At 39.8% G+C, this 16236-nt stretch overlaps 1 protein-coding gene across 8 annotated transcripts in view; it reads right to left on the bottom strand.

Annotated features, from left to right (window-relative positions):
- KCNAB1 (potassium voltage-gated channel subfamily A regulatory beta subunit 1) overlaps positions 1–16236 on the bottom strand; it is a 420928-nt gene that overhangs the window by 116073 nt on the left and 288619 nt on the right. For all 8 annotated transcript variants that reach the window (XM_017007171.3, NM_001308217.1, NM_172160.3 and 5 more), the window contains exon 2: positions 1407–1450. In XM_017007171.3, coding sequence (XP_016862660.1) covers positions 1407–1450 — 44 coding nt within the window. The remainder of the gene's footprint in view (positions 1–1406; positions 1451–16236) is intronic.

Genomic DNA, 16236 nt, shown 5'->3' with positions numbered 1-16236 from the left:
TTCCACCCAAACAGACCTTGTAAAAGTCACTGATGACCTCCATGTTGCTGAACCCGATGGTCAATTCTTGGTCCCCATCTTGCTTGATGCATGAGCACCACTTGACGGGATTGGTCACTCCATCCTCCTCGAAATGCTCACCTGGATTCCAGGACTCCATTTTTTTTTCTGATTTTTCTCCTGCTGCGCTGGTTGCTTTATTTTCAGCTTTCTTTGGCTCCTCCTCACTTTCTCGATTTCTTAATGTTGGATTTCCTAGGTCTTAGACCATGTGCCTCTGTTTTCTATTCTGTCTATAAGCACACCCTTAGTGCTCTCATCCAGGATCCGGGCTTAAACAGCATCTACTTGCTGATGACTCTCAAGTTAATATATCTAGCTCTCCTTTCTAAATTGGAGTCATAAGTCTATTTGCATACTTGACAATTTTTATTGCAGGCCTAATCGATATCTCAAACTTAGTATGTCCCAAATCAATCTCCTAATCTCCCTAAATTTCTCTCTCATTTTTCTACCTCATTTACTCATACTTCATCCTGTCTGTTGCTCAGGCAAAAAATCCTTAGAGTCATCCTTGACTTTTTTCTGTCATCTTCCACATAGAACCCAACAGAAAATCTTTCAGGTTTTACCTTGAAAACATAGCCACAATCTGACCACTCCTCACTACTTCCTCAGTTACCATCCTGGTCTAGACTTAGGTCACAGAACAGCTCTGATTGGTGTTGAATGGCAGGAATGCCAAGGCTGCCTTTTCCTGGGCCTAAGGGATGTCTGGAGGCCTCAAGCCTCCCCAAGTCTCACAGTCAGATTCCACGACTTCAGATTCATCTTTATGCTGTTAGAATTGCCATCTCTATTTAATCCTCTTCAAATATTGACTGGGAGGAATAATACTTTTTATTTATTAATGCATATTAATGTACATGTGTTTATGTGTATCTCACCTTGCCCCCCCAAATATTTAAGGCAGATTATAAAAGTATATAAAATGCATAATAATAATATAGAAAAGTGAGGAAATTAGGCAAAGGGAAAACAAGGATAGATAGAAAAAATTCAGGTGAATTGAGGGAGTGGTGAACTGAACCTATAAAATGCATGCCATGCAGTCCTTCATGCTTGCTAAATGGGAGTGACGCATGAGTCCCTTTCTCTGAGGTGTGCTTTAGCATCAGGTTGCCTTATGCTCGACGGGCCCCTATAAGGAATCATGAACACGGTGGCTCCCTGGGAGAGGGTCATGATGGGAAGAGAAAGGCTCAAAGGAGAAGTGGGGCAATACTGGCCAGGAAGCCTCCTCCTCATCTGAGACCAGGTCCTGGCCTAGACCACAGTCACTCCCTGGTGCCCTCCCCAGTCTCCCACCTTCCAGCCCACCCCCAGGTCACACCCTCAGTACTTACCAAGACCCAAGCAAGAAACTCTGAGTCCTGATTTTCCAAGATTCCTATAATAAAAACAAAGCAACACTTGGTCATCATTTCCTCAGGTGGAACTGTACATGCATAAGTGGATATTGTATCTCCATTTTGGCAGATTCTTGATGAGTCCTGATAGAGGCAGAACCACAGATGCCGGCATATTGTCTTGAGACAGGTCTCCCTTGCATGGCCACTCAGGCATCAGGAAGCTCAAAATCTGTTCAGGCGCAGCACAGAAAATGTCCCTCACAGAACACAGCTTCTCAGTCTCATATTGTCTTCTTTATTAACTTGTTTACCCATTTACTGGCTTTCTCTCTCCTTCTAGAATCTGAGTTTCTTGAGGGTAAACTTCTTTAACTTATTCACCAACCATTCATTCATTATTTGTCAACTGACCACTTCTCACTACTTCCTCAGTTACCATCCTGGTCTAGACTTAGGTCACAGAACAGTTCTGATTTGTGTTGAATGGCCTGACACACGGTAAGTAGAGCCTTAATAAATATTTTTGACTTACTGACTAACAAACTGACTTCTAAAACAGAATATTAATTCTAATGGATGTGAATTATTAAAATAACAAATATAAAACTATCTTTTAGGTTATTTTAACTATATCCTATATTTAATATATTATAATATAATACATAGATATATATTTAACTATATTACATATATATGTGTGTGTGTGTATATATATTTAATTCAAGATTACATAAAATTACCACGGGAACATCAGATATTTCTTTATTCCCAAAAGTTTAAGGAAAAGAAATATATTTTTGCTTTCTAAACAAGGATAGAACTAGGAGCTCTAGTATGCATTTGCCTATAAGTCTTTGTGGAAATCCAGACTCAACCCATTTTTGTCTTCTGACTAGCATAGAGGAAAAAAACAAATTCTCAGAGACAGGGTGCCTCATAGCATTAGTGTAAGGGTCCAAAGTGAGCAGGCAAAGCTGAAATAACTGTAACATTGTAGAAAAGTGCACCCTTATTCTCTGATAAAAGGCTTTCATAAAAATACAGTTTCCCTTCTTGCTCCCACACCAAAGGAAACAACACAAATAAAACTTCCAAATTGGTGGCACAGCTGAACTATCCCAAGTTCTCCCTTGATTTGTCATCAGTTTTGGTTTCTTTAGACTTAGCAATTAGTACTCCCATTTTTGCATCACATGTTTTTCCTCTGCTTATTAATGTTGTCTATAAAATGCCACCTAAGCAACACATTCAATTGCACAACATAATAAAAAATGCATAAAAATGCAAAGAGTTGAAAGACCCGGGCTTTTGACCCGTTGTCACAACTAGTTGGGTGACCTTGTAGAAATTGCTCCCTTTTCTTTCCGGGGTTGAGTTTCTTCATTTGGAAGATGTAGCGTTGATGTCTATGCCATTTGCATAGCATCACTGTTTGTAGGGCCAGATCGTGAGAATGTGTGCTAAAGTGTTATACTGTAAACAAATGCAAGGCATAGCGATTTCTGGTGCTTTCTGACTCCTACCCTCCAACCAGACATGGTGCTAAATTTTCCCATATGAACTGGACATGTCCAACTGGAAGAAAACTGTTGCATAAAGATGCATGTGGAAAATATTTTGAACCACTAAATGGGACGAAAATAATTGGATTGCTCCAGTGAACATAATTTTTATAAGAAATTGTTCATTTAGTAGTTTTTCAGAAATCAATAGATGTACAAAGACTTTTCTTGGTAGTCCAAAAGTCTACTGATTTTAAGGGGTAGGAATCTAGAGCAAATGCTATATTGTAGGGAGAATTTTTTTAAAAAGTCATGGAGATACAGAGAAGAACAAGGCATGGTCCTGTACCCTCAAGGAGCTTAGAGTCCACTGAGGGACACAGAAAAACCAACATGTAATTCCAGTAACATGGGATACATCTTACCGTGGAGATCACATGAGGTGGTGGCTTCCTCAGGCTTATATTTGCATAACTTTGTAGGTATCATGGAGAAAAGGATCTAGAAAAGGGTTTTCATGTATTTTTAATGTCTTTCAGTAGGGAGAAGTGACTTGTAGAAAACTCTATAGAGCAAGACAGTTCTAAGGCTAAGTCTCTATAGTTCAGAGATTTTTCTTTTCTTTCTTTTTTTTTTTTTTTCTTTTTTTTTGAGACGGAGTCTCGCTCTGTTGCCCAGGCTGGAGTGCAGTGGTGCAATCTCGGCTCACTGCAAGCTCCGCCTCCCGGGTTCATGCCACTCTCCTGCCTCAGCCTCCCGAGTAGCTGGGACTACAGGCACCCCCCACCACGCCTGGCTAATTTTTTTTATTTTTAGTAGAGATGGGTTTCACTGTGTTAGCCAGGGTGGTCTCGATCTCCTGACCTCGTGATCCACCTGCCTCGGCCTCCCAAAGTGCTGGGATTACAGGCGTGAGCCACCGTGCCCCGCTAGTTCAGAGATTGTTCTAACAAACTCAAATAAGGCAAAGTTATATCACTGGGTACTTAGCAACATCTCAGCACCCATTTTCCTGATGGCAGTCCTATTTTCCTTATGGCAGCAACTGAAGATAATGATCACTCTGTTATGGGTTTTGAAGACCAAACATGAGAACTGTCAGCAAAAACAAACTGCAAACTAGCAAGTACTAATGGCCCATTTTCTTGCCACTGCTGTTTAAACGCCCAAGATGGCCTTTCTGGAATGAAAGCCTTACAAGATTTTAAAATGTAAGAAAAGTTCAGTTACAGACTAATACTGCTATAGTGGTGATAGGTCCCCACCTTAAGCCTTGATATTTTTGTTTCCCTTAACTCTAATACTTTTAATTATTTTTCCAAATACCTTCATCCTCTAGATAGAACAGTTATGAAATTCAGGTGGTCACTTTTAAAGTGAGAGGCATTTTCTCTGCATGAGATATATCTGGGTCTCTGTGTGCATTGCTCTAACTTTGCTCAGATGCAAGTCTCTTTGTGAGACGTGTACCACTTAAGGCACTCCCAACACAGGATGGTGCCACTCACTTTGCAGCTGGAGAAGGTAGGAGGAACTAGCTACCTCCAATTCAGGGCATGAAATCCCAACATGATTTCTGCTATTCCAAATGGCACGTCTGCATCCTCCTGTCTCTATCCATGTTTGTGCAGTACTAAGTGAAGATGTAGCTATTGTCCAGTTACTCTAAGCCACTTAAGATCTGATGTGTAATAGAAGCCCAAATACTTGACACATTTGATCTAATGAGTTCAGCAGCTTGTTTGTGTGGCTTTAATATCAAATAATGACCAAGTTTACTAATCATGCTGGGCTATAACACATACCCTGGAACCTTTATCTCACTCATGTAGAATTTTCACAAATACCTCATAATCTTATGTGACATTGTGCAGAAAAACAACTTTATATGATATTATTCTATTTCTTAATTCCTCAGTGTTCCCATAAGTGAGGCTACATAAAAATTCTGTAAGCACATCAAATTGCCAATTAGAATGAATTATTTTTCCATTTGATTCAAAATTGTTTCACTGCACAGGTTTAACTATTTTATCTATGTCAGAGATATCAAAAACAAGTCTCACCATGTTCATTTTTAGTATCTGCTCCTGTTCAACTCAAAATAAAAGCTCCTCTTTCTCAGGTGAACCTGAACTGCTCTGCTGCTAATATTAGAAACAAATGACATCAATGTGGAGGCACAGAACACTTAGCTTTGTCAGTCAAATTTTGGAAATCCTACAGCGTCAGTAAAGAGTTATGTGGAGAAGGGATATAGCTTCTTGAGAGCTCAAAGGTTGTGATTCCCCTTTCTTTCTGAAGGCAGACTCTCCACTCGGTGAATACATGGCTGACCTTATTTCAGGACAATGATTTGTTCCATGGCAGAGGCACTGAATGTAATTCCTAGCCTCACTTTATGGAGCAGCCACCAGGCTTTTTTTTTTTTTCTTTTAAGGCAATACTGGAGTAGTGAGAACTGAAATCAAGCATCTCTTAGGCTCAGTTTTGCAGGCCACTCTGATGCTCACAGTTTCTTTACAAGTCAAAGAGGCTAAAAGCAGAAAATTCGTAACCCAAATTTGTTGTTTTAAATGGCTTGTTTCTCGATGTACGTATCTTAGACCTTATTCACAATTTTAAACAGCTGAGAAAAGTAGCTTGCAAAAATATGTGCCTTGCATTTGACCAAGCAAGAAGCATATGCATGGGGCAAAATCCCCGATTTAAAGGTTGACGTAACAGGGACAGCTGGAAAGCATATGCAAGGGGCTCCAGCAGCTGTGTCAGGCTGGCAGAAACAAGCTGGGTTTGACCTGGTTTTCATGTGGTCAGAGAATTACATCATTTGCTGTCTCACTCTATTTGAACATCTTTCTGATCCTTCTGAATTATACTCTGCCTTACCTGGAAGTTACTAATCAAATATGAGATTTGGGTTTGTTTGTTTTTTTTAAGAAATGCACATTTAATAATGTACATGAGCAGAAATCATGTTCATTTGCCAGCCAGCTGGTTTTGATAGTTACAAGGTAACATACATTTTGACAGCCATGAAGGTGGCTACAAATAGTAATAACATTTTCTTATGAGGGCACTGTTCATCATTGTTGGTAAGTAAATAATGACTCATTTGGGATTCACCAGGCACACAAATGATTTAGCCAGGCATTTTGAGGACAGACATTGACAGGTGGCAGAACAAAACTTTTATTCTTACCTTTTTAAAAATAGCAACAAAGTAGAACAGGATTCTTCCAGATTCTTTGATTTAAAAGTTTAAGTCATTTGTCAATTGCAAATTCTGACTAGGTTCTTATTCATTTTCTTTGGACAAATAAAACACCCGATGATCCGTATCTTTCTAGAAAAGTCTAGAGAAGTGTGGAAAAAAGAGACTTTCCTATAATTAATTAATTAGGTCAAAGAAGATGTACCAAATTTCACCTATGTACCAGGCCTCAGACTAGGCTGTGAGCCTGGGCTGAGTGGCAGATAGTTGCTGCTCTCGTGCAGCTTATGTCATAGGAGGTGAGACAGGTATTAAATAGATTAATTATTTGATTATAATATTAAATAAAAGGATAGTAGGCCCTAAATACAAAATTGGGACCCTCAGAAAGCTGACCTAATATGCGTGGTTAGGAAAAGCTTCTCTAGGGAAGTAATATTTAAACTGAGATCCAAAGGAAGAGTAGGAAGAAACTTAGTAAAGAGAGCAGGGATCAGCATTTCAAACAGAGTGAACAGCATGTGCAAAGGCTCAGAGACTGGAAGAAGCATGGGTAATTGAGGAACTGAAATACGTTCTAGGCAATAGAGGAGGGGAGAACAAAGGGTTGAGTGGCTCTACATGAGTCTGATAGGGTGGCAGGAGCCAGATAAAACAGTGCCTTAAAGATTATGTTGCAGATTTTGACCTTAATATGGAGTAATGGAAGATGTTAGCAGGGAAAATGGGTTGAAGGAAGGTAAGAAGAGGAGCTAGATGGCTGCTTAGTTAATCCTGATGAGAAATGGTGCTACCTTGAAATCGGATTTAGTGGAGTGGAGAGGATGGGGAAGATTCCAGATATCCCCAGTAGGTAAAATCTACAGGACTTGGTATTTTGATTGAATATGAGGGTGAAAAAGGAGGAATAACAGGCCATTCTCAGGTTTCTGATTTGGCCAGCTGGGTGAAGAGGGGTGCTTTTCACCGAAGTAGAGTGTTCATTGGGGACATTGGGGGAACAACGGTTTTGGATCTTTGGGCAATCTCGTGGGGACTGAATATCCATGAGACATCCAAGGTTAATTGCCTGTAACTCAGAGTGGGGAGAGGGATTTTCTGAGTGTCCAGGGTAACAGGCACCATGGGCTGGGTCAGCGGCTGAGGGAACCGATTCTGTTAGTGAACAGGGCCCACGATGGGGCCTTGAGGAGCTCCAGCACCACAGATGATGGAGAGGAAGCTGCATCGGCAAAGAAAATTGAGAAGGGGCGGCAAAGGTGTACATGGAGATCAGGAAAGTGTCTGTGGAGAAGCCAAAGCAGGGGATGGTTTCAGCAGGTAGTGAGTGGGCAGCAGTGTTGAAGTCTGCCATGAGATAGAGCGCAGCGAGTGGGGTGGAGAAATTCCCTTCATGTTCAGCTTTGTGGGGATGGCTGTTGACTTCTGTGGCAGCCATTCCAGTTGTGTCACGGATGGGAAGCCGGGCTGAGTGGGCCAAGGAGAGGAAAGGTGTAGAAATGGTGTTCACCAGATGTGTGTGACCTTGGGCAGGTTGCTTGGCTTTTTAAAGTCTCTTTCCTCATTCATAAATGGAGGTAATCATCGCACACTACTTTTGTTGACAGTTAAGTGAGAAAATATAAATGCAGTACCAGTCCTAGCATATTTCAGTGTTCAATTAGTGTTAGTTGCTTTCTGCCTTTCTTATTTCTTAGGAAAAGCGCTATTTTAAACACTGAATCTGGTTCTGGTATGGGTACAAAATCTGGTAGAAGGCTGCCTCTGTGACTTTCAAGACCCACTTCCCTGGCCTAATGATCCTCTCAGTTGCCCTAATGATCTTCCAGCCTAGATAAATTTGTGCTTAGACATTGCAGATAGCCTGAATCTATTATATGTGAATTGTAAGTTATTTTGCTAGAGTCACTAGAAAAAGTGGGAATCAGAGGATGAAGACAGATAAAAGAGGCAAAGAAGAAGGTGGCACTTTGGAGAAATGATAGAAATCTGAGGTGTTTAGAACTGTTTCCATGATCACCAGACCAGGGAAAATGGAGCTGTGACATAAAGTTGTATGGATATAACCATACAAACTTGAGTGTTCTGTGGAGGTGGGGCTTGAGAAGTGCCCACTCATGTCTACTTAGCCCTTAAATAAGAGCTACTCTTTGCTTTTCCTGTCTCAAGCATCTAAGGCAGCAGAAAAGCTGGACATCAGTAACTCAAAAAGTCTTAAATCAGAAGAATCTGGAACCTCTGTCTCAAGGGCATATAATCTGCGGATACATAAACTTGAATGGGAAAAATACATCTTTATGTTTCACCACCTTTTAACTGAAAGTTAGCATATCCTTCCATTCTCAGTGTAGGCAAGAAACCCCATAAGTACTCATGTTACTGTTTGTGACTTTGACACCATCAAAAACTGCAGGTGTTTTTGTATCACTTCAAAGTTGAAGACATCAAAAAATCATTTACGCTCACCATTTACACTCATTACCACTTGGAAATTGTGGCAATTGACCCACACCTAGAACTTGTTAATACATTAATAAAGAAGTGTATGTATTACTAGATCACAGATTTGGTTTTTACATATTTTGAACTATATTTCAAATTAACTGGGATCCTGTGTATTTTATGTAATGTTATTTAAAGCTCTTTCCACAAAATGAAGGGAAAGCCTTCTCTGGCATTCTCTTTGTGATGAGAGCTGTAATTAGTTTTCACTGTGATGAGTTTTCAAAGGCAAAAAAACAAAAACAAAAAAAATCTGAGGTAGGACTTCTATGCCTTATATCTTTCTTATTCCATTTACTGTGGGTGAATATCTCACTTTCTCTTTAGAAAGCAAAGTCAGCAATGTAGCAGAGACTGAGGAATGAGCCTGACTGAGGAGGAGGGTGATATTTAAACATACACTTAATCAAAAGTAAATGCTTTCAGCCATAATGCATTAGTCTGCCTTTCATTTTCCTTGACAGAGGAACAGAAAATTAATGCCTGTTTCTCTATGTGCCATGTCTTTTACATCTGCAGTCAGAGTGCGATATATCACAGTGCATCTTATGGTTATTGTGTACGAGATTATTTCCCCTTCCAGACTGAGATCCATGAGGCCAGGGATTGTGTCTAAGGTGTCTGCATATTCCCACCACCTAGCACAGTGCTGGGTGCATAACAGCTGTTCAGTGATGCTCACAGTGGGTGCTGTAATGCTATCGCTTTGCTGTGGATAAAGACAGTATTGCTACTCACTTATGACTTTCTTCTTGGCCAGGGAGGCTCTGTGGTTTGCCAGAAGACACGGGGCAGTTGAGTGCAGTGGTGAAATGCAGCATAGTGCGGCAGTGCCTCTATCACTTACTATCAGCAAAGCCTTGGGAAATGTATGGAACCTCTCTGTGTCCCATCTGTTACATGGGGATAATAATAGAAACTACTTCATAGGGTTGTTGTGAGGATTCAATGTGAGGGTTGCAGCATTTAAGATAGGGCTTGGCACATGGTAAATGCTCTGTAAGTGCAAGCTGTTATTAGACAAACACAGATTGACTCCAAGCTCTGCTCCTGGTACTTAGGGGCAACTCATTTCACCTTATTTCAGAAGACAGATTCTTGCCTCCATAAGTGAGTTTCTAACCCTGCTTTGAGTGGAGGAACATCGTAAACATTGTGGCCTTTCTTTTAACCAGCATAGGTGTTAGGACTTCTTTTAATTTTACAAGAGGCTGGAGCTCGTGAACCTGCTTAGCAGGATGCCTTCTATCCCCACTCAGACCCTTCTTGTCCCTCTACCTCTCCAGTTAACTGTAGTCACTGTTCCAATGGAAGGGCCAAGTCCCAGGTCCCAAGTGTTTGCAACCTTAGAGTTTGGGGCTAGGGTGAAAGGGAGAATCCTACCATGGTCTACTCTTATGTTCAGGCTTGACTCTACTTTTTAATTCTAGTAACTCCAGCACTTTAGACCACCTGCTGGTCACCTCATCTGAATCTTCAGTGCATATTTCAAATTCAGAATGTCAGTCTGTGGGTCAGCCCCCATCAAAACAATGAAGCTCAAACCTGGATATTTTGTCTTCTTCCTCTCCCTTGGTCTCTACAGCCAGTCAGCAAATCCTGAAGAGCCAGCAAATCCAGAAGAGCCAGCTTCCTTCAGCACCACCCTGACTTCTTCACAGCCACTACTAGGTCAGACTCTTGTGACAGATAGCTAGCTCCTGGCCTGCTCTTCTGCCTCTAGATTCAATCTTGTTCTCTCTCTCTGTTTATCTCTGATCAGCCTTACCACTTTCTTTTTATGTAGCCACTATTATTCATGCCCTGTTACCTTTCCTCATTTGCAAAGTACTCGATTGTAGACTCCAAGCCTGATTTATATTTGTCTTCCTCGTAATACTTAGCACCATGGAAGTGCGACTCAATACTTCAGTGACTAAATGAACAATCCAATAAAAGTTTGAGAAGCCTTTCTTAACTCTCTGATGTGGAGCCCACAGTTAGATATTATTTTATTCTTCTTTCTTTTATGTTTAGATTGACTATTACAATTCAGTTGTCTTATTCACTGTCATAGTACAATAAGGCAAGACAGAAGGCATTCATATTTTAAAAAAGGAAATAAAACTGTCTCTCATCGAAGATATGATTGTCTATGTAGAAAAAAACCCCAAAGAATCTACAAAAATCTCCTAGAACTAATAAGTGAATTTAGCAACTTTGTGAGATATAAGATCAAGATATAAAAGTCAATTGTATTCCTAGGAATAAACTACTGATTGGTATTCAAAATTTAAAAGAGTAATACTATTTATAATAGCACCCTCAAAATGAAGTATTTGTTTATAAATTTATTAAAATATGAGCAGTCTCCATATACTAAAAACTAAAAAACACTGAAGAATGAAATGAAAAAAGACCTAACTAAATAGAGAGGCATATCATTTTCATGGACTGCATGACTCAATATGGCTAAGATGTTAATTCCCCTCAATTTGATCAAAGGACTAAATATTATCCCAATTTATATCCTAGCAAAATGCTCTGTAGACAGCAACAAAGTGATTAAAAATGTATATGGTAAGATAAAAGAACTCAGATATTCAAAACAATGTGAAAAAGAGTAAAGCTGGAGGACTCATACTATCTGATTTCAAGATTTAATATAAAGCTACAGTAATCAAAGGCAGTGTTGTGTATGTTAAAAGGAGTGAAGCACATATAAATGAAACAGAATAGACAGTAAGTGGAACAGAACAGACAGGTCAGAAATAGCCCCACACAAGTACAGTTAACTAATTTTTGACAAAGGTGCAAAGGTAATTAAATGGAGAAAGGATTGTTTATTCAACAAATGGTCATGGGGCAAATGAAATAATTGTTCATTTGTAAAAACATTGAACCTTGACACAAACCTCACATCTTATACAAATATTAATGAAAAGTGGATCATAGATCTAAATGTAAAATATGACACTATAAAACTTCTAGAAAAAATGGGAGAAAATATGTGTGACTTTGGGCTTGACAAAGTTTTTAGATATGACATAAAAAAGATGATCCATTAAAAAATTAAAAATTGGACTTTAGAAAAATTTAAGACTTTTGTTCTGAGAAAGATACTATTAAGAGAATGAAAAGACATGTTACATGCTGAAAGAAAATATCTGCAAAAACTCATTTAAAAATAGCCGAAGTACTGAACAGATACTTCACCAAAGAAGACATTTGATGGCAAATAAGCATATGAAAAAAAATGCTCAACACCATTAGGAAAATATAAATTAAAACCATAATCAGATACCACTATATACTTATTAGAAAGTGTAAGATAACAAACAAACATACTAAGTACTGGCAAAGATACAGAGCAAATGGAATCTCATTCCATTGCTAGTTGATATGCAAAATGGTACAGCCCACTTTGAAAAACAGTTTGAAGGTTTCTTACAAAGTTCAACAATCTATACCATGTGACTCGGCTATTTCATTCCTAAGTATTTACCAAAGTGAATTAAAAACTTACATTCACACACAAAAAAGTGTATATAAATATTCATAGCAGCTTTATTCACAAACACCAGAGGTTGAAAGTCCCCCAGATATCTGCCAACGGATGAATGGATTAACAAATTTGGGTACATTCATACAAAGGAATACTACTCGGCAATAAAAAGAATTAAAGGCATTTTGCTAAGTGAAGGACACCAAACTCAAAAGGCTACAATATTGTATGATTCCACTTACATGACATTCTAGAAAAGACAAAACTAGAGGGACAGAAAGCAGGTGTGTAGTTACCAGGATTTGGAGGTGGGGAGAGCTTGACTACAAAGTGGCAGTATGAGGGAATTTGAGGGCTCATGGAACTGTTCTGAATGGGCAATAGCATGACTTTGTGCATTTATTAAACTCCATACAACTGTAGAAACACAAAAAGTGAATTTCACTCTATGCAAATTTAAAAATATCTACCAGAATGTTGGAGGGACCCAAGATGAAATACAGACTATGAGAAATGAATTTAACTGTATTACAGATTAATGGCATACCACACTGAAGGAGATGGGGGCAAAGGACCTGACAAATAATTTTGGAAACAGTCTTTTGACTGGATATTGTAAAGCTAAGAACAACAATAACAAAAAACTATACACAAACACGGTACTCTACCTGGCAAATTTGTTTTTCACCGGGTTATGAGTTAACAATTCTGAAACTAGAGTTGAATACTAGGGTTGACAAATAAAAAATGCAGTAAGGAAGCCTTGAACAGTAGACCCAAAAATTAAATAAAAGCAGAAGAAAACTGAAGATCTCTTGAAGCCAACATCCTTTTATTATTTAATTTCATTTTATCTACAAACGTTCTCACATTGCCAGAACATTGGTTTTGGTTTGTTTCTGTTTTTTGTTTGTTTTCTTTTCTAATCCAGCACATGCTTACTCAGTAGCTACTAAGATGCATCAAGAGCTAGTAAATGACTTTGAAGTTAATGATGCTCTTTCTCTCCAGAAGAATAACATTGAATACAGTTGGCCCATGACTACTTTGAGCCCTGTTATAAATGACTAATGCTTGGTCAGGCTAGAGTTCTGGTTTTAGTTTATCTTTATTCTCGAACCTCTACTTTGATCTTTTTATTATTCTTCATTTTTTAGTTTGTTGTGTCTCAGAAGTGAAGGTACTGTATATATCTCATTGTGCAGTGACCAGCAGTGAAGTGGTGTCTAACTAGAGCGCCAGGCATTGTGCCTTCTCATAGTGACTAGGAAATACCTGCAACCAGCAGTGAGAATTGCCCTTCTAAATGCAGAAGTCCCTTGGTGCCAATCCTGATTTTATTTGATATAAAAGGAAAGCTCCTTCCCATAAACACATGAAAGGGAGGAAAGGTGAAAAGATTGTCCTCTCATGATACAGCAAGGCACCAGATGAATATATTCATTAGGGCCTTAAGATAAAACCTGATTGAAATTCTCTTGAAAATGAAATCAAAGCTACCCCTCCTTGGGCCAGGGTGAATTTTTACTACTGCAAATAGTTTTTTAATTGACTTCAGGCATTTTTAATTAATCACTGCATGGCAACTATAGAATCCTATGAAATAACCTTACTTTATGCATTTGTGAATTAATCCATCCCAGAAAATTAAAGTAATTAATTCCAGTTGGTTAAAATCACTACTGATACTTTATTCGAGTTGAATGACTTGACTGGTTCTAAGCAAGATTTAGATGACAGAATTTCATAGGCTAGAGCCCAATATTGATGGCAGAGTAGCTGGTGCTCTGAGAATTCTTTGGCACAGCCCTAAAGAAGTCAATTTTCAACTTTAGTATCAACATATAATGAGAGTGAAAATCATTATGTAAAGTAGGTGCTTCCTACACTGTGGCTGGTTATGTTGACAATTGGAGTCACAACTCCAATTACGCCTAATTTTTGGACAGTATAATGCCAAACTGAACAACTGAGTAAAGCTTTGTATCTACTTTGAATCCATTAATTAGAATGTTAGCATCTATAAGCATGTCTCTGACTTTTGAAATGGAAAAGTACAACCAATCATAATATATTTTTTCTTTTTCACTTAATGGGTGAACATAAACACATACTTTATTTTGCCTATACCTGAACTCAGGTTATTTATTTTATTTTATTTTTTTTTTTATGGAGATGGAGTCTCACTCTGTCACCCAGGCTGCAGTGCAGTGGCACCATCTTGGCTCACTGCAATCTCTGTCTCCCAGGTTCAAGTGATTCTCCTGCCTCAGCCTCCTGAGTAGCTGGGATTACAGGTGTGCCCCACCACACCCGGCTAATTTTTGTATTTTTAGCTGAGAAGGGGTTTTGCCATGTTGGCCAGGCTGGTCTCGAACTCTTGACCTCAAGTGATCCACCCACCTTGGCCTCCCAAAGTGCTGGGATTACAGGCATGAGCCACTGCGCCCGGCCCTCTAGGTGCTTTTATACACCATTCATACACAGAAGCACAGGCAACCATTCTGAGTAGGCACTCTTGTTCCCATTTTATCCACAAGAGAGACAGAGGCTGCGAGAGGTTAGGTAATGCGCCAGGGTCCCGCACATCCAGCAGGTTGCAGAGATGGCAAGGAGTATGGTGTGATGTTGAAGTGTGTGGTCTTCCTCTGCCCCTTGCTGCCTTCACATGATCCGTGCATCTGAAGTGACCCGATTCTTAGCTATTCCCTAGAGAAACAAGTAGGCCTAGAAGGGCCCTGAGACGTGGGATAGGGTCCCTGCTGAGTTCGGCCATTTTTGGAGGCCTAGAGAAGGAGAAAAATAAAAGTTTCTGCTGCCTGAGCTAGTTCATGCACACCCCCTCCCAGCGCCTCCCTGCTTCTTCCGTGTCCCGCCACCACCGCCCGCCACTGCACCCCCTCCCCCGTCACCTTCCACAATCTCTCTGTGATTGATGCCATGGCAGTAGTGGGAGTTGGTGAACTGTCACTCATCTCAGTCCTTTCCCCATCAGCCCTCAGCCAGAAACAACGGGGTAAGAAAATAGAGCAGAAGGAAATTAACAACTCACATTGGTTCAAAATTTATCAGAACTTATTTCATCCTGTTTTGCAGTTTTGAAAAGAGGAGAAAATGAAGTTATTTGTGTGCTCTGTGTGCTCTGCTGATTGCAGATAGGAAGAGCAATGTGGCTGGAAGAGATCATGTTCACAGCTTGTGGGGTGTGGGGTTAAGTGTTTGAGAAGGGGAATGGAAAGGAACGCTTGGAAGAACTGAGGTAACGTTGCCTAAAAAGGCTGAATCAATAGTGACTTTCAGCACAATTCAATTCAATGAACACACTGGAGCTGCTATGAGCAAGGAGCTAAGGACATAAACTTTAAAAGACCATATCTCAAAGGTTGATTATTCATTCATGCAATTCATATTTATTGAGCACTGTTCTAGGTGCTAGGGTTATAGCAGTGAACAAAACAGGCCAAGTTCCTGACTCATGAGGCTTACATCCTAGTGGGGAAGACCCATGATAAACAAGTAAACACAGAAATAACTTCAATGAATGATAGGTGCTATGAAAACTTAAATGCAGGAGAAAGGCAAAGAAAAGGTGGCCAGAAACAGCTTCACAGAGGAGATGCATTTGAGCGGGGACCTGGAGGAAGGGACAGAACCAGCCTTGGAAATACCTTGGGGAAGAGAATTTCAAGCAGAGATAACATGACCCTGAGGTAGGGACAAGGTTGATGAGCAGAAAGCAGGTGAGTCTGCTGGAGTTTGGTATGTGAGGAGAGAGCAGGACCAGATGAGATTAGAGAGAGAGAGATAGGAGCCAGGTTGCTAGCAACCAGCTTAACCCCTCTCAATCACGACAGAGTAGACAGAAAAGATCCAAAAGCTGCTACAGACTCTATGTGAAGAGTGAATAAAATAGAATTGTATAACAGAGAGTGGATTAACCTTTGCTGGAGGACTTTTAGAAGAACACTGATACTCTGTGGATTAGGTTAGGTAACCTTCACTTGGGGCCAGGTCACACTCCCATACTGGTGAGGGTTTTGGTATTTGGAACCTAGGCATCACCTTGTTGTACAGCTCTATGTGCCTAATCTCCCTTTCCCTATGGAATAGTTCAGTGGTCTT

Source organism: Homo sapiens, chromosome 3 (genome assembly GCF_000001405.40).
Source record: "Homo sapiens chromosome 3, GRCh38.p14 Primary Assembly".
In the NCBI taxonomy this organism is placed as follows: Eukaryota; Metazoa; Chordata; class Mammalia; order Primates; family Hominidae; genus Homo; species Homo sapiens.
Note: the sequence above shows the minus strand (reverse complement) of the source record. Positions and strands in the feature narration are given on the sequence as shown.